We start from the raw sequence: 23,385 nt of genomic DNA on the forward strand, positions 1-23,385 counted from the left end.
TTTTAGCTGTTCCTGTCACACAAACAAAAATCTAACTATGTGAGATGGTAGCTATGTTAATTTGCTTCACTATAGTAACCAGTTTACTATCTATATGTATCCTTTAAGATCATGTTGTCAACCTCAAATATATAAAATAAAATTTATTTTAAAAAAGAAAAGTTTTCCTTCAATCCAGAAAGAACCACTATTACCATTTTTTGGTGTTCCATTCCAAAATATCCCACAAATATACAATTGTTCAATCAAATTTAACATTAGACTTTATACTTGAACATTCAAAGTATGTAAGAAATTATAGAAAAGTGTCTGTGTGACTCCCTGTCTGTAGAGCACAGGCTTCATCTCCACTAACACACACACGACCAGTACCTTATACAGAGAGTCCTTGTTTGTCTTTAGTCTGACACCATGGGCGAGCCTGAGTTGGCCCGTGGTCCACATTCCTGACCAGGTGTCTTTCTCACCCACTGGTTTCAACAAAGATGTTACTGGGTTATAGAAGGCTGGGATGGAAACAGGATACCAAGTTCGCATGAAGACAATATCTGAAAAGAGGTAATTTACTTTAACGTTTTCAAAAGAAGATTCATATCCATATTGTGAAGAAACAAAGAACAAAATCTTCACTCCAAACTTCTCTACCTGACTGCAAAGTATTTGAAGGGAAAGCTCGCTAAGGAAACTATTCTTATAGATCAAAGAACTGTTACTGAGTGTGGCCAGGGGACTGCAGACACAAGGCAAATGGGCACACTGCATAAGACTGGGAGATCTAAGGCTGGAGCTGCTCAACTCTCTGGAGACCTGACTCCAGCCTCTCGTCACACTGGCTAGAAGTCAAGCATGAATGGTAACACCCTGCCCTGAACACTACTTAAGACACTCACCGCTCATCCGCAGCTTATCCTCAAAGCTATCCTGGAAAGCTCCTTCTGGAGCTCAGAGTGCTCTCTTGATCTGCCCCCTTATCCCACTGACAGTTCGAATCACAGCATCTTCAAATTTGGCCACTTCCAAGGCAGAATTAAACATTCCCTACAGGTATAGCAAGATAAAAACACACACACACACAAAATCATATACTTTATGCTTTACTTCTTACTTCAAACATACATCCGTGATTAAAGAACAAAAACAACTCACTGAAGGGTGATAAAATAATCAAAATGTATTTGCCCCTGAAAGTGGAATTACTACCTCAAAAAGAATACAACTCTTTCATTTTCCCCAAAATAATCATGTGAGTTCATGGGCATGCTCATCACTGCTGTCTGTGTGGAAGAGAAGATCGAAGAGGGATTTACTGGACTGAATTGGCCTAGGAAGCCTTTGCTGGCATCTCTCAGACTGGACTGCAGCCCAGATCCTTTTACTCAGATGCATGCACTTAGAACATGAAAACAGTAAGATAAACGCCAGTGGTATTATTACCTTATATTGCAAGAACATTTTATGACTTCCTAACTCTGTTTTCAATAGAAACATCCCCACTAATGAAATTGTCAATAAATGCTGCTCAAACCACCCTCCCAAAATACTGAAAAACAGTACATCCATTTCTCTGTACCCTTGCCAAGTTGTCTGCAAATGCTTTGTCGATTTTTCTACTGAGTTAGACAAACTTGTGATTTTTTTCCCTTTCTTAACACCAATTTAAAAAGTAGGAAACAAAACCTAGTGGATAAAATGACATATTTTCAATATGAGTTCTGTGGCAGTCTCACATGGAAGTCAGGAGTAACAGCCTCAATTCCTAAATAGCTGTTTACCACTGCTTTTTTGCGCATATTTAAGTAATACAGAATATAAAGGAGCAAACAAAATATGAAGTTTATAAAAGATTTCAAACACTTTTCTAAAAATAAGAGGCCCACATTTTAGAGGTATTTCATTCCTTTTCTCAAACAATATGGACATTTATAAATATGAGAATATATAGATATACAGACCTTAATAAATGAAGTGTTCTTGAAAATTTTATATGGAAAACCAGTTAGCTTTAATTTCTTCACAATTTTTATGGATTTATCCAGATCAAGGACAACTCCTGTGGCAGCTATCCGAAAATCAGGCTAACAGGAGCCCCAAAATTTGAAAATAGGAATAATATTAGCAAGAGAAAAACTTCAATTCTATGTGACACAATAAATTACCAAAGTGAATTTTACTTACAATTAGTTAAGAAAAACAAGAGAGACCATCTGAACTTGCAACCCATTGGTTTGACAAAAGCAATCCAAAACTTTAAAGTTGGTAAGCCAAACTAACAAGGGTGACTTGAGGCCAGGCACAGTGGCTCATACCTGTAATCCCAGCACTTTGGGAGGCCAAGGCAGGTGGATCACCTGAGGTCAGAAGTTTGAAACCAGTCTGGCCAACATGGCGAAATTCCGTCTCTACTAAAAATACAAAAATTAGCTCGGCATGATGGTGCATACCTGTAATCCCAGCTACTCGGGAGGCCGAGGCAGGAGAACCGCTTAAACCCAGGAGGCAGAGGTTGCAGCGAGCCAAGATCGTGCCACTGCACTCCAGCCTGGAAGACAGAGTGTGACTCGGTCTCAAAAAAAAAAAAAAAAAAAAAAGAAAGAAAAAAAAAGGCTACTTGAGTACTTTCCTGAGAGTGATTTCAGAGGAATGTAATTTTACTATAATAATTTATTTGGAACGAAATGGAAAAGAAAAATACAGTTGCAATGTTTAGGAAATTAAAATTTGGACCTCCAGGGAAGATTCCATCTGCTCATTATTCTGCTTTCTTCTCTGTTAAATGGGACCAGTAAACCCTGCCCTGCCTGACTGGTCAAATGAAAATGGAGTGAACAGAATGCTACCCCAGCACAGCTGCAGGGAGTCTTGTGTCTGGGTGGTCTCTGATGGCTCCTCATAACCTCATATAGTGCTTAGCACATGGTGAGCACTGCTTAAATACTTGCTTGGATAAATAAATGCAAAAGATGCATAAAAATAGGAAATGTACCATTATAATTCTTCCACCTCCCCTCCTCTAATCCCACACCCTACTGAAAAGGATGTACGAAGATTAAAAGCAAAGGGAAATTTACTTTATATTAATAAAAATGAGTAATTTTCAACTTAAAGTCTCATGTACATAATAACCCACATTCAGGATATATTTCTCAAACCAATCTGTAAAAGAAATCGTCCAAGATAGTTACCATTATGCCACTGACAGACTGTATTGCCAAGAAACCAGTTCCCTGTGGAGTGATAGGGTCTTAAAGGAAAAGGAAAAAAAGAAATATAGCAAACCAGAAATTTTAGATTCTAGTTTAACATACTGGATATGGACACTTAGATTTGGATATAGATGTACATATATACTCCAAACCACCTCCCCGCTCCCAGAAAAGAGAAACATCTTAGGAGTGGAATTTTATGAAAGGAAAAGCACAAAGCTAAAATAACACAGCCTGTAAAGTTTAATCTCGGCAATAGGCAAGTTATTGTAATCATATTTTACCCCAAAAGGCTGCTCCACAATGGATGTGCTGTGGCGTATACTTTAGAAGCCTTTGTCTTCCATTGTGGTCTTCGATATAATAGAGCAGGATGGTCTGAAACCTCCTCCACCCTACAGAAAATATGATTGGATCTTGGGACTTGAGGATTTTCTTATACCAGCGATGCTTCTTCAGACGCATCTGAAGGGGATGAGAGGGTAAGATGATTGATGGAGGGGAAATCCACAGAGCCTCAGGCACCAAATACGCAGCAAAGGGACCCACCTGCACGTGTCCAACATTTCCCTCACTGTTGCCCAAGCCACCCAGGATAATGGGGTAATGGGGGTCAAAGTTCTGCACAAATTCACAGGGAACATTTTCAATCTCAACGCGGACATACATCCCAGGTCGAAAACCCTCATACTGAACTCTGGCTTCATCATCTTGATCTTCAAATTCTACGTGATTCAGCTGTACATGATGGGGTGGGGGGGGGCGGAAACCTGTATGCTGTTATTTGTAATAAACATAGGATTAACATGAACAAATGAGCAATTTCTAAGTAAAGGAACTGTGGACAGAATTATGTAGGCTTTATCCTATTAAAAATACTACACATTTGGCCGGGTACAGTGGCTCATGCCTGTAATCCAGCACTTTGGGAGGCCGAGGCGGGCAGATCACATGAGGTCAGGAGTTTGAAACCAGCCTCGCCAACATGGTGAAACCCTGTCTCTACTAAAAATACCAAAATCAGCTGGGCATGGTGGTGCGTGCCTGTAGTCCCAACTACTCAGGAGGCAGAGGTGAGAGAATCGCTTGAACCTGGGAGACGGAGGTTGCAGTGAGTCAAGATCGTGCCACTGCACTCCAGCCTGGGCAATAGAGCGAGATTCCATCTCAAAAAACAAAAAAACAAAAAAAAACCCTACACATTTTACCTCTACAGTCTGTTCAGAATATGTCCCAACCATTTTCTTCTCTCCTGCTCCAAGGGACAGCAAATGTAGATAACTGTGGAGCCCTGCGTGCTCAAACATTAGAAACATCCCCAGTCCACACTTTCTTTCCTTCCTCTCCAAATAATTCTTTCACACTTTTCCCTTGTCTTCAAACACCCACCACCACCCTCACCTTCACTCAGCTGATGGCTGTTTCCTGATTCACTCCAAAACCAAAAGAACCTCTACGGTCAACCCTATACCAGGGTTTCCTCCCATATCCAGCCTTATCAGAGCTCTGACCTGCCCCATAGAGGAGCTATGTGTGGCTATTTAAATTAAAATTAATTACAATTACATAATATTTAAAATGCAGTTCCTCAATCACACTAGTCACACTGGAAGTGGTCCGTATCAACCTGTGGCCAGTGTTACAATATTGGGAAGCACAGATGTGCATCTCCATGATCACAGAAAGTTCTACGGGCAGCTCAGGCACAGATGATTTGTCCATGCCTCTACTCAGGGCCACACATCACTTGCTCACTAGACACCATCCACTCTTCCTGGACTTTATTCCAACAGCTCTTCCCTCTGTTCTCTCTCTCATCTCAAAACCTTTTGATTCCACTTCTTCCACCAAAAACTGCTTCATTTCTCTGCTTCTCTCTGCAGCAAAACCCCACAAAAGTTTTCCACAGTTGCAGCCTCCAGTTCCTCTGCTCCCATTCTCCTACATCCATGAAAATTGGTGCTTGCCAAGATCGCTGAAGGCCTCCACGCTGAAGGACTCCTCCGGTGGTCAACTCTGCCTTTACCATAGTTAACACTGCAGCGGGATCTGAACAGTGTTTCGCCTCCGTGTACAACTGGACTCCTGCGTGCCTGCAGGCTCACACTGCTTCTCCCTCTCCCTCCTAGGCACTGCTCAGGCCTCACGGCCGCAATCGCCCCATCTCGCCCATGCCAGTCTTGCTCCTCCCAGTCACTCTGCACTCACTCCCCGGCCACCTCACAGAGTTAAGTGGCATCTACATGCTGAGGGCTGTACATCTAAGTCCCTGGCCAGACCTGTCTCTCCAGACTTGACACTCCGCTTGTCTGCATGATACCCAGCCGAAACAAACATCATCTTCCCAAAACTGCATCTGCAGACAGTTTCCTATCTAACCTGCAACAACCCATCCTTCCAGGAACTTCCAGTCGCCATCCTCATTTCCTCACACACCCCACATTCAGTCCACCAGGAGATCCTACTGACCCAGCTTCCAAATAAACTCTATCCGGGTTTGACTCTTTGTCTCATCTCCACTGCCAGCCCTCTGGTTTGTGCCACCGGACTGATCTCTACCGGACTGATGTCTTGGCAGAGTGATCTGATTACCTGAATGTCTCTCCTCTGCTCAAAACCCTCCAAGGACTCCCATTTCAGAGTGAAACATTCAGTCTCTTCCAATGGCCCACAAGGCTCTAGGTAATTTTAAATTGTAAATGGTGTGAAGCAGAAACTTCAGAGTTAGCCTAGTCATGCCTTTCAAAGGTCAACACAGACTAGCAACCACTAAGCTAATGCCTAATCAGGAAACAGTCCTTTGACTAGATGAAGATCTAGGATGAAACTCCGTTTCACAAATCATATACCTAATCTGTTCCAGCTTACACAGGCACTCCTGGCCTCACTAACAAGACGCAACTCAGATGCTCACCATCAACTGTACACACATTTCTGTGTCTGTCTCCTTCAGAGTGAGATCACCGCCTCCAGCAACCTGCTCAGCACCCCCAGGCAGGAGGGCCACACCATCTCCCTTTATCTCCGCATCTGACCTTATACTCCACATGTCCTTCTGAACTCTGACCAGGATGAGTTTTCAGAGCTGGGGAGTGGAGCCTGGGCCTGCGCCTCTCCGCGCCTGCGCCGCCGCTGTGCGCCTGCGCCGCCGCTGTGCGCCTCTCCGCCGCTCTCCGCCGCGCCGCCGCTCTCCGCCGCGCCGCCGCTCTCCGCCGCGCCGCCGCCGCCCGCCTCGCCGCCGCCGCCCGCCTCGCCGCCGCCGCCCGCCTCTCCGCCGCGCCGCCGCCGCCCGCCTCTCCGCCGCGCCGCCGCCGCCCGCCTCTCCGCCGCCCCGCCGCCGACCGCCTCTCCGCCGCCCCGCCGCCGACCGCCTCTCCGCCGCGCCGCCGCCGACCGCCTCTCCGCCGCGCCGCCGCCGACCGCCTCTCCGCCGCTGTCCGCTTCTCCGCCACGCCGGCACCGGCGCTGTGTGCCTTTGCAAGGGCGGAGCTGCGTTCTCCTCGGCACAGACCCGGAGAGCATTGCGAGGGCGGAGCTGCGTTCTGCTCTGCATAGACCTTGGGGCACTGCCTCGCTTTGGGACAACTCGGGGCCGCATCGACGGTGAATAAAATCCTTCCTGTTTGCAGCCATGTTTGTGGTTGGTGGCAGCGATGGAGACTGCAGCCAGCCAGTGTAGAAAGGCATTGGGGTAAGTGCGCCATCCAGGCTGCACTGCTGGTGGCCTGGGACGGGTTGGGAGCCCTATCTCAGGCGTCACTGCCCGTCTTGGGTGGCTGGTTGGGTGTGCTATCTGGGGCTGTGCTGCCTGCCCGGGGGCGGGGGGGGGGCGGTTTGGGGGCTCAAACCGGGGCTGCACTGCCTTTGGCGGGGAGCCGGTTGGGGGCACTATCCCAGACTGTATTGCTGGCAACAGTGAGGTGGGTTAAGTGTGCTATCTGGGGCTGCACTGTGTGGCTGTGGGGGGGGGTGGCGGTTTTGGGTTGAGGGCGCTATGGGCTGCTGTAATGCCCATGGTGCGGGGAGGCGGGGCGGTTAGGGTATGTTGGGTGTGCTATTGGGGGGGGGCGACACTGCTGGTGGTAGGGGGCAGGGTGGGTTGGGGGCCATATCAGGGGCTGCACTGATTGCTTTAGCTAGGATTTCTGGTACTATGTTAAACAACAGTGGTGACAGGGGGCATCCTTATCATGTTCCAGATCTTAGAGGAAAAGCTTTCCATTTTTCCCCATTCCATATGATTCTAGCTGTGGGTGTCTTTCCTGTAGTTTTTATTATGTTGCGGTATGTTTCTTCTGTGCCTGTTTCTTTGAGGATTTATAGCATGAAGGGATGTTGAATTTCATCACATGCTTTTTTGGTTTCAGTTGACATGATCATACGGTTTTTGTCGTTTATTTGGTTGATATGATGTATCACATTGTATGTTGAGTGACTCTTGCATTCCAGGGATACATCCCAGTTGATCATGATGAATTATCTTTTTAATGTATTACTGAATTTGATTCACTGGTATTCTGTTGAGGATTTTTGCATCAATATTAGAGATCCTGTCCTGTAGTTTTCTTCTTTGATGCTTTTATCTGATTTTCGTATCACAGTAATAATGGTCTCATAGAATAAGTTTGGAAGTATTCCCTCCTGTTTTTCAAAATAATTTGAGCAGGATTTGTACTAGGTCTTTAAATTGTTTGGTGTGAAGCCATCAGCAGTGAAGACATCATCAGTTCCTGGGCTTTTCTTTACTGGGAGACTTTTTCTGATGGCTTCAATCTCATTACTTGTTACCAATCTGTTCTGGTCTTGGATGTTTTCATTGTTTAACCTAAGTAGGTTGTATGCATCTAGGAATTTGCCAATTTCTACTAGGCTTTCCAATTTATTGGCATATAATAGCCAGTTATGATCCTTTGAATTTCTGAAGTATTAGTTGTAATGTCTCCTTTTTTTAATCTGTTGATTTTATTTATTTGAATCTTGTCTCTTTTCTTAGGCTGGTTAAAAGTTTGTCAATTTTGTTTAGCTTTCCAGAAAACCAACTTTTCGTTTAATCTTGTGTGTTTTTTATTTCAATTTTGTTTCTGCTACGATCTTATTTATTTTCTTATTTTCGGTTTAGTTTGTTCTTACTTTACTAGTTCTTTAAGATGTATTGTTTATTTGAAGTTTTTCTTTTGTTTGGATGGTAGGCACTTATAGCTGTAAATCTCTGCCTTTGTACTGCTTTCTGCGTAACAAGTTTTGGTATACTGTGTTTTCATTACCCTTTGTTTCATGAAATTTTTGAATTTCTGTCTTAGTATCTTCATTGACCTTTATTTATTCAGGTCATTTATTCAGGAGGGTAGTGTTTAACTTCCATGTGATTGTATTGTTTCCAAAATTACTTTTCTTATTGATACCTAGTTTTATTTCTTTGTAGTGAAAGAAGATTGCCACGGAGACAGAGAGCAGCATGGTCAGTGTGGTAGGAGCCGGCCATCAGCGAGAGCTGCTCCATGCCTGGCTGCTGGGAGCTAGAGCCTGCGGCCCACTGGCTTGCCTCACTGTAGTTGGTGGTGGCAGTGACAGAGACTGCAGCATGACCAGAGTGGTAGGACAGGGGCTATCCAGGGCTGCACCTTTCGCAGTGTGGGGTGGGTTGGGGGCGCTATCCAGGGTGTCATTGCCTGCATTAGGGGTACTGGTTGGTAGCACTGCACAGGGCTGCACTGCCCACAGCAGGGAGGGTGGGTTATGGGTGCTTTCTGGGGCTGCAATGCCCATGGAGGAGGACAGGTTAGGGCATATCGGGTATATGCTACTGGCGGCATTGGGGGACGGAGGTGGGGGGCGCTATTGAGGGCAGGACTAGCCGTGGAGCGGGGGCGAGTTCGGTGCTATCAGGGGCTGCACTGCTGGCGGCAGTCAACAGAGTTGGCATCCAAGGAAGGAGTGGTTCTCCTCTCCCTGACTCCACACTCCAGAGGGCGAACCACTCTTGGTCATACTGGAGTGCGGCAGGGCACGCAGCGTTTGCATGGGAATCCTGAGCATGGCAGAGCCCCCACACCCACCGTGGTTCCTGAGCCTGTGCACTCTGGGTCTGTGCCTCAGAGGCTGCCAGGCACCCCTGGGGACACCACGGGGAACAGGGCCCTGTGTGTGGAGGCATCCGGAACAGGAATTGGCACCTGGGTGCGGAGGGCTGGCTGGGTCTGAATTTTTCTGCTTCTCCTGTTCCCCGAGGAGTGCAGCCCCGGTGGGCCCAGTGGTTCCTGTGGAGTGGGGAGCTGGGTGCTGTGGTGTCTCCAGCACCCACCCCAGACCCCAGTTCCCAGCCAGCTTGGGCCAAAAGGAGAGGCTGGACTTTGGAGGGTGGGTGTGAGTGCCTTTGCTGAAACTGGCCCCTGCCACCCAGTGGCCGGCACGACAACTTGAGGCTCTAACGCTTCCACTCCTCACAACTTCCTCTAGGCTTTTCTGGCTTTGCCCGCCCAGCTGCTCCATGCCAGGAGGAGGAGGAGACACCTAGAGCCTGCAACACCACGGCTCACCTCGCTGCGGGTGGGTGGCAGTGACGGAGACTGCAGTGCGCCAGAGTGGTAGGAGAGTGGCCACGCTAGGAGGGCGGGCGGCTGCAGGCAGGGTTGGGAGTCAGGCTTACAGCGATGGACGGGCTGCAGCAGTGGCCAGGTGGTAGGAGCCTTGTAGGGAGGGCTGGTGCATTGGCAATGGGCCTGGCTTTGCCCTGTGCCTGCCGTGGATCTGGCCCTGTACTGCCCTGCCTTGCCCTGTACCTGCCCTACTGTTACCTGGACTCTCAGCCCTGTCCTGCTCTGGTCCCATCCTGACCCTGTCTTGGCCCCGTGCTACCCTGTCCCTGCCCTGGTCTTGCCCTGGCACTGGCCCTGCCCTGAACCTGCACTGGCCTGACCTTGGCTCTGGCTCTGCCCCTTGTCCTGACCCTGGTCCTGTCATGGCACTGGCCCTGCCAGTGGTCATGGTCCTGCTCCTGTTCTGGCCCTGACCTGGCCTTGGAAATGTCCTGGCTCTGCTTTGGCCCATCCCTGCCCTGGCCCCACCATGGGCCTTCCTGTTCTGCCCTCTCCTGGCACTGACCTGGCCCTGTCATGGCCCAGTGGTGCCATTGCCCTGCCTTACCCTGCGCTGGTTGTGCCTTGGCCCCGCTTGGTGCTGGCCGCTTCCTGGACCTGCCCTGGACCTGCCCTGACCCTGCCTTGGCTTTTGCCCTGCCCTCACTATGGCCTGGCCCTGGCCCTGGCCCTAGCCCTGGTCCTGCCATATCCCTGACCCTGCCCTTATCCAGGCCCTGCCCCTGCTGCTGCCCTGGCCCTGGCCTGGAACCTGGTCCTGTCAAGGACCTGCCCTGACTCTGCCATGGCCCTGGCCCTGCTCTGCCTTGTTCCTGGCCCTGACCCAGACCCAGACCCTTTCCTGGCTCTGCACTGGTCTTTCCCTGGCCCTGAGCTGGCAGTGGTCTGCCCCTGGTCTTGCCATCACCCTGCCCTGCTGTGCTCTGGATGTGTCATCACCCTGCCCTGGCTCTACTCTGCCTTTGACCCTGCCCTGGCCTTGCCTTGGCCCTCACCCTAGTCTTCGCTAGGCCCAGCACAGACCTGGCTCTGACCCTGGCCCTGGTCTTTGTCCTGCCATAGCTTTGGCCCTGAAGTGGACTTGGAGGTGTCCTGGCCCCGGTGTAACATGGCTCTGCATTGGCCTGTCTCTGCCCTGCCCCTACCATCGCCTTGCCCTGCTCTGCCCTGTCCCAGTACTGACCCGGCCACGCTATTTCCCCGCCCTACCCTGCCTTGGCTGTGCCCTGGCTCGGTTCTGGCCCTGGCCCCGGCCCTGCCCTGGACATGCTCTGACACTGCCTCAGCCTTGGCACTAGCCTGGCTCATTCTTGGCATCAGCCCTGCTCTCTCTGTGGACCGGCTCTTGTCCTGTCCTGCACTGGCCATACCATGCCCTGCCCTGCCCTGCCCTGACTCAGCCCTGACTCAGCCTTGGCCTTGGCATTGCCCCTGGTCCTGCCATATTTCTTGCCCTGTCCCTACCCTAGCCTTGGCCCTGACCCTTACCTTGCTCTGGCCCTGCCCTTGCCCTAATGCAGCCCCTGGCCCTGTCATGACCCTGCCCTGGACCTGTCCTGGCCCTGGCCCTTCCCTGCTTGAGACCTTGCCCTGGTTCTCCCATGGCCCTGACCCTGAAATGCCTGGCCCTACCCTGGCCTTGCCCTGCTCTGGCCCTTGCCCTGACTCTGGTCCTGTCACTGACCTAGCCCCAGCCCTGTTGCTGGTCTTACCATGGCCCAGACCCTGCCTTGGCCCTGCCCTGACACTGTCCTGGACCCTGGCTGTGCCAAGAACCTGCACTGTCCTTGCCCTTGTTTTGCTCCTGCCCCAAACCTGGTCCTGCCCAGGCCGTTTCTATGGCCCTGGCCCTGGCCCTGCCCAGGTCTTGGCACTGGCCTGGCCCTGCCCTGGCCCTGCCCTGCCCTGGCCCTATGCTTTCCTGGCCCTGCCTTGGCCCTAGCCTGGCTTTGACCCTGCCCTGGCCCTACCTTGGCCTTCACCCTAGCCTTACCAGGGCACTGTGTTGGACCTGGCCATAGCACAGACCTGGTTGTGGCCCTGGCCCAGACCCTAGCCCTGCAGGTACCGGTCCTGGCCCAGCTCTGGGCCTGGCTTTGTCCCTAATTCTTAGATGACCCTGGCCCTGCCCCTGCCCTTGCCCTTGCCCTGGCACTGGCCTTGGACATGTCCGTGGTCCTAACCCTGGCCCTGCCCTGGAGCTGCCACTGTCTTGGCCCTGCCCTGGCTCTGGCCCTGCCCCGGCCCTGGCCCTGCCCCGGCCCCAGCCATAGACCTGCCCTGGTTGGTCGTGCCCTACCTTAACCCTGTGCTACCCTGGGCCTGCTCCACCCTGCCCTGGCCCTGCCCTCCCTTTGGCCCTGCCCTGACCCCGTCTTGGCCCTCACACTGGCCCTAGCACAGACCTGGTCCTATCTGTGGCCTTGGCCTGGCATTGACCCCTGCTCCTGACCCTGGTCCTGCCATGGCCCTGGCCCTGCCAATGACCCTGGCAGCCCTTACCCTGGCCCTGAACTGGCCCTGCCCTGGCCCTGAAGTGGATTTGCAGGTGTCTTGTCCATGGTTTAACCTGGTCTTACCATGGCCCTGTCCCTCCCCTGGCTCTGTCCTGGTCTTATGCTGACCCTGACCCAGACCTTGGCCCTGCCACAGCCTTGTCCTAGACCTGGCCATGGCCCTGCGTCTGCCCTGGACCGGCGCTGGCACTGGCATGGACCCTGGCCCTGGCCCTTCACTACTTAAGGCCATACCCTGGCCCAGCCCTGGCCCTAATTTGGCCTGGCTCTACCCTGGCATGCTATTCTGGCCCTAGCCCTGACCCTGTCCCTGTCCCTGTACTGGTCCTAGCCCCGTTGCTGGTCCTGCCATGGCCCTTGTCCTGACATTGCCCTTTCCTGGTTCTGGCCCTGGCCCTGTCCCAGCCCTGCTCTGGCCCTGGTCTGAACCCTGGCCCTGCAATAGACCTGCCTTGGTCCTGCCCAGACCCTGGCTCTGGCCCTACCTCTGCCCTGGCCATACCCTTGCCCTGGCCTGGACCCCGGTCCTGGTCCTTGTCCTGCCCCAGCCGTGGCCCTGGCCCTGCCCTGCCTGTGCCCTGTTCTATCCTGGGCTGGCCCTGCCATGGCCTGGTCTTGCCATTGCCCTGCCCTAGCTTGCCCTGCTTGTGCCCTAGATCTGCCCCGCTTGTGCCCTAGATCTGCCCCGGCCTTTGCCCCATCTTGGTTCTAGCCTTGACTCAGCCCTGGACCTTCCCTGACCTTGCCTCAGCCCTGGCACTACCCTGGCATTGCCTTGGCATTTGCCCTACTCTCTCTATGGCCTGGCTGTGGTCCTGCCCTGCTCTGCTCTTGTTCTGTCCTGGCACAGCCCTGGCCCTGGCCCTGGCCCTGCCGTATCACTGGCTCTGGTCCTGCCCTTATGCAGACCTGACCCTGCCACTGCCTTGGCTTTGGCCTGGACCTTGGCCATACAGTGACCCTGCCATGACATTTTCCTGGTCCTGGCCTGGAACCTGGCCCTGCCAAGGACTCGCCCTGGCTCTGTCATGGCCCTGGCCCGTTCCTGGATTTGGATGTGTCCTGTCCCTTATTTGCCCCGGCCCTTCCCTGGCTCTGCCATACCCCTTCTCTGGGGTAGGGCCAGGGTCAGGACCAGACCAGGGCAGGGTCAGGACCAGGGTAGGGCCATGTTAAGGCCTGAAGATGGGAAGGGCCAGGGCAGCGGCTGGACCAGGGAAGGGTCAGGGCCAGGGATGTAGTAGGACTAGGGGCAGAGCCGGCACTAGGGCTGAGCCAGGGCAGAGCAGGAGAGATTACTTTAGGCTATTACTAAAATTTTTATTTTAGATTTTTAAGATAACTATAGTAGTAGTAATGTCTATACTATGTTGTTTGTAATAGTAATAATACTTGCGGTAATCACTAAATTTTAACTAATACTATCTTTGCTTCCAGTAGTGTTCTATGAGTATAATTTTATCAACATGTAAATATGTGAGGCATTGATTCTCATAATAATTCTATATGCTAGGTACTTAAAGCATCCCCATTTTCCAAATGTAGGAAACAGGCAAAAAGAAGGTAAATACTTGGCCAGATTACTCCTGTAATCCCAGCACTTTGGGAGGCCAAGGCAGGCAGATGGCTTGAGCTCAGGAGTTTGGAACCAGCCTGGGCAACATTGTGAAACCCCATCTCTACTAAAAATGCACAAAAAGAACTAATTTAAGTTTCTTGTAGGATTCTGGTTATAAAACACTGGTCAAACACACAGGGCATGGATAGGGCAGGGCCAGGGACAAGGTCAGGCCAGGAAGGGGCCAGGGCCAAGGCAGGGCCAGAGCTGGACTTGGAGGTGTCCTGGTCTGATTTGCCCTGCCCCAACGTTGGCCCAGCCCTGCTCTGGCACGTCCTGTCATGTCCTGTCCCTGGCCTGAGCATTGGCCCTGGCCCTGTCCTGCTTCTGGCCCTGCCCCGGAGTTGACCAGGCACTGCCATGGCCCAGTCCTGCATTGCCCTGCCCTCCTCTGCCCTGGTGCTACCATGGCCCTGCTTGGGCCCTAGCTCTGCCTCGACTCTGGACCTGCCCTGACTCTGCTCAGCCCTGGATCTACCCTGACTCTGCCTTGGTGTTGCCCTCCCATCTCTATGGCCTGGCTCTGGCCATGCCTTGCACAGACCATGCTCTGCCCTGCGTGCCCCAGCCTGGGTCCAGCCCTCATCCTACCATATTCCTGACCCCAGCCATACCCTTGTTCTCGCCATGACCCTGCCGTGGCCCTCTCCTGGCCCTTCCTTGATCCTGCCCTGCCCTTCCATGCCCTGGCCTTGCCCTCACCCTGCATTGGCCCTGCACTGGTCCTGCCCTGCCCTGGCACTGCCTTGGCCCCGGCCCTGCCTTCTTCCTGGCCTTGCCTTTGCCCTGCCCTGGCCTGACCCCAGGCCTACTGAGTCCATGAAATGGCCCTGGACCTGCCTTGCCATCCTCTGTCCTGGCCCTATATTGTCCCCACCATGCTCTGGTCCAGCGCTTGCCCTAGCCCTGTTGCTAGTCCTGCCACTGCTATGGCCCTGCTCTGTTTTTGGCCGTGCCCTGTGCTACCCTAGCCCTGCCCTGCCTTGGCCTTGGCCCTACCATGGCCTTCTCTTACCCTGGCCTGGCCCTACCCTGGCCTTTTCTACCCTGGCCTTGCCCTTCCCTGGTCTTGCCCTGCCCTGGCCTTGGCTTTGCCTTATCCTGGTCCTGGTTCTGCCCTGACCCTGGCCTTGCTCTGGATCCTCTCTGGTTCTGCTTTCTCCCTGGCCCTGCCCTTGCTCTGGCCCTGTCCCTGGACCAGCCTTGACCCTGACCCTGACAATCCCCAGGTCTGACACTGGCCATGCTTGGCCCTGGCCCCTCCTTTTGGCCCTGCCTTAGCCCTGTGCTATCTTAGTCCTGCCCTGGCCCTGAACTCGCCCTGGTCCTACCCTCACCCTACACTGGCCCTGCCCTATCCTGGCCTTGCCCTGCCCTGGCCCTGCCTTTGGCCTGCTCTGGCTCTGGTTCTGCCCTGGACTTGCCCTTGCCCTGGACCCTCCCTGGCCATGTTTTTCCCATGGTCCTTCTCTGGCCTTGCCCTTGCCCTGTCCCCTTTCTGGTCCTGCCATGTTTCTGGCCCTGCCCTGTCCATGTCCTGGACCTGACTCTGGCCCTGGACCTCCCTGTCCCTGCCCTGCCATACCCTGGCCCGTTCCTTGCTCTACACTGACCCTGCCCTGCCTTGGCCCTGTGCCACCCTAGCCCTGCCCTGGCCTTCTGCTGACCCTGATCCTGCCATGGCCCTGGCCCTGCCATGTCCCTGCCCTGGCCCTGGTTCTTCCCTGCTTCTGGACCTGGCCTTGGTCCTCTCATGTCCCTGGCTGTGACCCTGCCCCTGGTTTTTCTCTGGCCATGACCCTGCCCCAGTTCTGTCCTATCCCTGGCCCTGTCTCAGTTCTGTCCTAGCCCTGGCCTTTCACAGTACTTTATGCTTAGTAAGGGCTCCATGGTGTCTGTGAGTTGAATGTTGTGTTCATAGTATCTGCCAAAACAGAAAGAAAAAAGTAAAATATTTTGATAAGAAGTTAAAGCTTTGTATATAATATGCCTTGAATTGTAAGTGCCTGTTATTAGTTGTATTACATATGGGTCATGGCTTTGTACACGTAACTCCAAACCATTGATACTGTTAAAAGGATATATGAATATATGAAAGAATGTATAAACGTAAGAATGTATCAGTATCTAATGACCTTTCCAAATTAATTTTTATTTTTAGCTCTATTAGATTTTTCTCAGTGTAACAAATGTTTATTCCTATGTAATTAAGGGTGTGTTTCCTGTACAGAATATTCATAATACCTAATTGAAAATTATATGATACAAAAATATAATACTATTTTTAGGCCAAGCATGGTGGCTCATACCTGTAATCCCAACATTTTGAGAGGCCAAGTTTGGAGAATCATTTGAGTCCAGGAGTTGACCAGCCTGGGCAACATAGTGAGACCTTGTCTTTATTAAATAAATAAATAAATAAATAGGTTGGGCACTGTGGCTCATATCTGTCCTCCCAGCATTTTGGGTTGCCAATGCAGGAGGATTGCTTGAGCCCAGGAGTTTGAGACCAGCCTGGGCAGAATAGCAAGACTCCATCTCTGCAAATAATAAAATATTAACCAGGTGTGGTGGTGCGCACCTGGGGTCCCAGCTACCTGGGAGGCTAAGGTGGGAGGTTTGCTTGAGGCTTCAGTGAACTGTGAATGCACCACTGCATTCCAGCCTAGGCCACAGAACAGGACCTTGTTTATAAATAAAGAAATAAGTAAAAATATAAATAAAAAGTAAAAATAACTATAAGTAAATATAAATATAAAAATGCATACATGAAAAGAAACAATTTTTAAATTTAACATCACTGAGGGCATCCTATCCATTTCATTTCATGATTCCATTACATCATTTCACTTAGATGAAATGATGAGATGAAATGATGAGATGAAATGACGAAATGATGAGATGAGATGATGAGATGAAATTTTGAGATGAAATGGTGAGTAGAAATGATGAGATGAAATGATGAGACGAAATGACAAAATTGAAAAGAAATTGAAAGGAGAGGAGATGAGATAAAATGAGATGAAATGAGATGATGGATGAAATGAGATGAAACGAGATGAAATGAAATAATGAAATGATATGAAATAATGAAATTGTAATGAGATGATATGAGATGAAATAATGAGATAAAATGATGAGATGAGATGAACGATGAGATGAAATGATGAAATGAAATGAGATGAAAAATGATGAGATGAAAAATGAGATGAAATGAAATAATGAAATGAGATGAAATGAAATGAAATAATGAAAGGAAATTATGAAATGTAATGATGAAATTGAAATGAGATGAGTTGAAATGATGAGATGTAATGGTGAAATGAAATGATGAAATGAGATGAGATGAAATGAGATGAAATAATGAGATGAAATGAGATAATGAGATGAGATGAAATCATGAGATGAAATGATGAAATGAAATGAAATGATGGATGAAATTATGAGATGAAAGATGAAATGTAATGAGATGAAATGAAATGACATAATGAAATGAAATAATGAAATGAGATGAAATAAAATAATGAAATGATGAAATAATGAAATGAAAATGAAATGGAAATGATGAGATGAGAAGAAATGATGAGATGAAATGATGAAATGATGAGATGAGATAAAATGAGATGAAATGGTGAGATGAGATGAAATATGATGAGATGAAATGACATAATGAATGAAATGATGAAATGGAATAATGAAATGGAAATGATGAGCTGAGATGCAATGAGTTGAAATGAGATGAAATGATGAAATGATGAGATGAAATGATGAGATGAGATGTGATGAAATGATGACATGAAATGATGACATAAAATGAGATGAAATGAGATGTAATGATGGAATGAGATGAGATGAAATGAGATGAAATGATAGATGAGATAAAATGATATGAAATGATGAGATGAATGATGAGATGATGAGATGAATGATGAAATGAAATGATGAGATGAGATGATGAAATGAAATGGTGAGATGAAATGAGATGAAATGAAATAGTGAAATGAAATTGAAATAAAATCGAAATGAGATGAAATGATGAGATGATGAAATAAAATGATGAAATGATGAGATGTGATGAGATGAAATGATGAGATGAGATGAGATGACATGAAATAATGAAATGAAATTGAAATGAGATAAGATACGAGATGAGATGAAATGATGAGATGAAATGATGAAATGATGAGATAAGATGAAAAGGGTTGAGATGATGAGATGAAATGAGATGAAAAGATGAAATGATGAGATGAAATGAAAGGATGAGATGAAATGAGGTGAAATGAAATTAGATGAAATGTAATGAGATGAAATGAAATGACATAATGAAATGAAATAATGAAATGAGATGAAATAAAATAATGAAATGATGAAATAATGAAATGAAAATGAAATGGAAATGATGAGATAAGAAATGATGAGATGAAATGATGAAATGAGATGAGATAAAATGAGATGAAATGATGAGATGAGATGAAATATGAGATGAAATGACATAATGAATGAAATGATGAAACGGAATAATGAAATGGAAATGATGAGCTGAGATGCAATGAGTTGAAATGAGATGAAATGATGAAATGATGAGATGAAATGATGAGATGAGATGTGATGAAATGATGACATGAAATGATGACATAAAATGAGATGAAATGAGATGTAATGATGGAATGAGATGAGATGAAATGAGATGAAATGATAGATGAGATAAAATGATGATATGAAATGATGAGATGAATGATGAGATGATGAGATGAATGATGAAATGAAATGATGAGATGAGATGATGAAATGAAATGGTGAGATGAAATGATGAGATGAAATGAAATTGAAATAAAATCGAAATGAGATGAGATGAAATGATGAGATGATGAAATAAAATGATGAAATGATGAGGTGATGAGATGAAATGATGAGATGAAATGATGAGATGAGATGACATGAAATAATGAAACGAAATTGAAATGAGATAAGATACGAGATGAGATGAAATGATGAGATGAAATGAAATGATGAGATAAGATGAAAAGAGTTGATGAGATGATGAGATGAAATGAGATGAAAAGATGAAATGATGAGATGAAATGATGAGATGAAATGAGGTGAAATGAAATTAGATGAAATGTAATGAGATGAAATGAAATGACAATGAAATGAAAAAATGAAATGAAATAATGAAATGAGGTGAAATTAAATGAGATGATGAAATTAAATGATGAAATGAAATAATGAAATGGAAATGATGAGATGAAATGAGATGAATGATGAGATGAAATGATGAGATGCAATGATGAGATGAAATGATGAGATGAGATGTAATGATGAGAGGAAATGAGATGTAATGAAATGAGATGAAATGAATGAGATGAAATGAAATAATGAAATTGAATTGAGATATGAGATGAAATGAGATAAAATGAGATGAAATAAATGATGAGATGAAATGATGAAATGCTGAGGTGAGATGAAACGATGAGATGAAATGAAAGGATGAGATGAAATGATGAGGTGAGATGAGATGAAATGAGATGAAACGAGATGAAATGATGAAATGAGATGAGATGAGAAGAAATGATTTGATGCAATGAGATGAGATAAAGTGATGAGATGAAATGAAATGAAGTGAAATGAAATAATGAAATGAAATTGAAATGAGATGAGATGAAATGAGATAAAATGAGATGAAATGAGAAGAAATGAGATGAAATGATGAAATGAGATGATGAGATGAAAAATGAGATGAATTGAAATGAAATGAAATAATGAAATAATGAAGTGAAATGAAATGATGAATTGATGATATTGAAATGAAATTGAAAGATGAGATGAAATGATGAGATGAAATGAAATGTTGAAATGATGAAGAGATGTGACATGAAATGAGCTGAAATGAGATGAAATGAAATGAGATTAAATGATGAGATGAAAAATGATGAGATGAAAAATGAGATGAAATGATGAGATGAGATGAGATGAATTGAGATGAGATGAGATGAAATAATGAAATTAGGTGAAATAATGAAATGAGATGAAATAACGAAATAAAATTGAAATGAGATGAGAGGAAATGAGATGAAATGTTGAAAAGAAAGGAGGAAATGATGAGGTGAGATGAAATGATGAGATGAAATGAATTGAGATGAAATGAGATGAAAAATGATACGAAAAATGATATAAAAAATATGACATGAGATGAAATGAGATGAAAAATGATACGAAAAATGATATAAAAAATATGACATGAAATGAAATGAGATGATATGAAATGACATAATGAAATAAATGAAATTACATGAAATGAAATGAAATAGTGAAATGAAATGATGAAATAATGAAAATGAAATGGAAATGAGATGAGATGAGATTTGATGAAATGATGAGATGAAATGATGAGATGATATGAAATGATGAGATGAGATGGGATAAGATGAAATGAGATGAAATGATGAGGTGAAGTGATGCACTGTCATGTGTGTGTCTTTTTCCCAACCAACAAAAATTATAATTCATTAATTTTATTATTTAAGAATATTCTTAAGAGTTGAAGGAAAAATAATATCTGTACATTATGGGTTACAATTAAGTATAAATAATACATAAATATATTAAAACTTACAAAGAATATGTTTCGGAATCGAATATACCATGCTTCTGTGATGACAGTTATTTCATGCTGGTTGTCACAATTTTACATGAAAAACTAATGAAACAATGTTTTTAACTGTTTCTAAAAATAACAGTTTCCAAAACAGTTTTACATTCAAAATATGAAAAAGATGTCTTTGTGTTCCTTAATCTGATGAGATTTTCACACTCTGCACATGATAATTGTTAGATTTTTATTGTGTTGATAAATTGTATATCAAATAAAAAATGTTATTACCTCTTAAATTAGGATTTTTAGGTGATATAGGCAGAAAGGAAGGCAAGTTTTTATAACTTTGTCTAAATGAACTTTCTAAATGCCTGAGTATTAAAAGATAGCATGTCTATAAATGACAATGTATATATTACTGTATGACCTAGGACCAATCAAAACCGTTACCTCTGATAACATTATATTGTGCCCAGTATAAAATAGATATAATAATACCTCAAACTTAAATCCAGGCATTGTCATTGAATATGTTAAGAATATGCAGCAAAGGTGCTTTTAAAAATACAAGCTAGTGATTGTACTAAATTTGTAAATCACATAGGATAGTGGGTCATTTTAAGAATATTATTTCAATCTATAAACGTGGATGTCTTTGCTTTTTTATGTTTTCTTTAATTTCTTTCATTAATATTTGTCATTTTTGTTGTCGAAATCTTTTACTTGGTTAAATTTATTTCTAAGTACATTTTTGTAGCTATTGTAAAAGGAATTGCTTTCTTAATTTCTTGTTTCAGCTAGTTTACTATCAATATATAGAAATGCTACTGATTTTTGTATGTTGATTTATATCCTGCAACTTTATTAATTTCATGTATCACCCTGAGAAGCTTTTGGTAGAGTCTTATTTTTTTCCATGTATAAGATCACATTGTCTTTAAACAAGGACAATTTGACTGTCTCCTTTCCAATTCAGATGTCCTTTATTTCTTTCTCTCACCTAATTGTCCTGGCTAAGACTTTCACTATGTGAAATATGATTGGTGAGAATAGGCATCCTTTTCTTGTTCCAGTAAAATCTTTTTCTTGTTCACAGTAAAATCTTTCACCTTTTCCACACTCAGTATGATCTTAGCTGTAGATTTGTCCTTTATGTCCTTTGTGTTAAGGCATATATTTTCTATACTAAATTGTTGAGAAGTTTTTTGTCATGTAAGAATATTTAATTTTGCCAAACGCTTTTATTGTGTTTATTAATTTAATCATATGGTTTTCAGTATATATCCAAAGGAAAGAAAATCAGTATATCAAAGAGTTACCTGCACCCCCATGTTTATTACAGCACTATTCACAATAGCCAAGATATGGAATCAACAAAAGTGTCCATCAACAGATGAATGGATAAAGAAATGTGACATACATATATAATGGAATATTATTTAGTCATAATAAAGAACAAAATCCTGTTGTTTGTGGCAACAAGAATGCAAGTGGAGGGCATTATGTTAGGTGAAATAAGCCTGGCATAGAAATATAAACACCACATAACTACGTGTTCTCACTTATGTATGGAAGCTAAAATTTTTAATCTCGTAGAAGTAGATAGTAGAGTTTTGGTTACCATATCCTGGAAAGAGTAGGAGAAAGAAGAGTATAAGAAAAATGTGCTTAATACATACAAAATTACAGCTGGAGAGAAGGAAGAAGTTCTAGTTCTCTACAGCACTGTTGGGTGACTGTAGTTAATGGGAATTTATTGTGTGTTTTCAAATAACTAAAAGAAAAGATTTTGAATATTCTCACTGCAAAGAAATAATACATGATTTAGGTAATGGATATGATAATGACTCTGACTTGATCTTTACGCATTGCATAAATATATCAAAATATCACTCTGTACCCCATAACATGTACATTTATTGTATGTCAATTAAAGTAAATTTAAAAGAGAAAAAATGAGGTAAAGGTAAATGTACAGAATTTAATTACTTTTTCTTCTATAAAACCCGAGTCAGTACCAAGAAGAGTCAATTTATTAGTTTTCTAAAATAAAAAAAATCAAAATCACCAAAAAAGAGCAATATCCAAGAAAACATTGAAAAGGAAACACAACATTTAGTAAGAATAGAAAACTTGGGCACTGTATCACCCTGTTCCTAGATACCGATTTACTGATGGCCATTTAAATAGAATTTTATTCTATCTAATTCATTTATACTCCCAGAGTTTGAAATTACATTTTACCTACAATAAATGAGATAACACTTGTAAATTATATGGTACTCTGCCTAACACACGTTAATAACTCAATAGATGTTAGCAATAAACTTTTACTATAGTAGTCAAAGTATTAATTTCTCACATTGCAATTTCCTTCAAAGACATAAATACAACCTTTCTAATGACTCCTTGTTCATCAAGATACCTCTTCAAATTATTCTATTTGTTTCATTCAGTATATTATCTGTGTATACCGATATTACACTCTTTTCTTTTTTTGAGATGGAATCTCATTCTGTTACTGATGCTGGAGTGAGGTGGCATGATCTCGGTTCACTGCAACCTCCACCTCCCAGGTTCAAGCGATTCTCCTGTCTCAGCCCCCCAAGTAGCTAGGACTACAGGTGCACACCACCATGCCTGGCTAATTTTTGTATTTTTAGTACAGTCAGAGTTTCACCCTGTTGTCCAGGCCGGACTCGAACTCCTGACCTCAGGTGATCCACCCACCATGGCCTCCCAAAGTGCTGGGATTACAGGCATAAGCCACCGCACCCAGCCTGATATTGCACTCTTGGATTTTGAACACTGAGTATCTTTTTGAAAGATTACACCTCTTTACCTCTTCGTGCTTCAGAAA

General features: G+C 45.4%; 1 protein-coding gene, 1 long non-coding RNA gene and 1 pseudogene across 2 annotated transcripts; 2 read left to right on the top strand and 1 right to left on the bottom strand.

Annotated features, from left to right (window-relative positions):
- Positions 373 to 3,950, bottom strand: BMS1P11 (BMS1 pseudogene 11; annotated as a pseudogene).
- On the top strand, positions 13,713 to 16,256 carry LOC107987067 (formin-2-like). Its single transcript, XM_024447728.2, has 2 exons — positions 13,713 to 15,021; positions 15,606 to 16,256. The coding sequence occupies exons 1-2, from the start codon at positions 14,561 to 14,563 to the stop codon at positions 15,700 to 15,702; spliced, it is 558 nt and encodes a 185-aa protein (XP_024303496.1). The 5' UTR covers positions 13,713 to 14,560; the 3' UTR covers positions 15,703 to 16,256.
- Positions 16,257 to 16,400: 144 nt separating this feature from the next.
- On the top strand, positions 16,401 to 19,374 carry LOC124902169 (uncharacterized). Its single transcript, XR_007061547.1, has 2 exons — positions 16,401 to 17,928; positions 18,748 to 19,374. It is a non-coding gene; the product is annotated as an uncharacterized LOC124902169 (long non-coding RNA).
- Positions 19,375 to 23,385: the final 4,011 nt, after the last annotated feature.

Source organism: Homo sapiens, chromosome 9 (assembly GCF_000001405.40).
Source record: "Homo sapiens chromosome 9, GRCh38.p14 Primary Assembly".
Taxonomy (NCBI): Eukaryota; Metazoa; Chordata; class Mammalia; order Primates; family Hominidae; genus Homo; species Homo sapiens.

Coding starts and splice junctions, on each gene's coding strand:
- LOC107987067 (XM_024447728.2), top strand. CDS start 14,561: ATGACCCTGCCGTGGCCCTCTCCTGGCCCTTCCTTGATCCTGCCCTGC. Junction 15,022..15,605: donor CTTGCCCTGCCCTGGCCTTG/GCTTTGCCTTAT, acceptor TGCTGACCCTGA/TCCTGCCATGGCCCTGGCCC.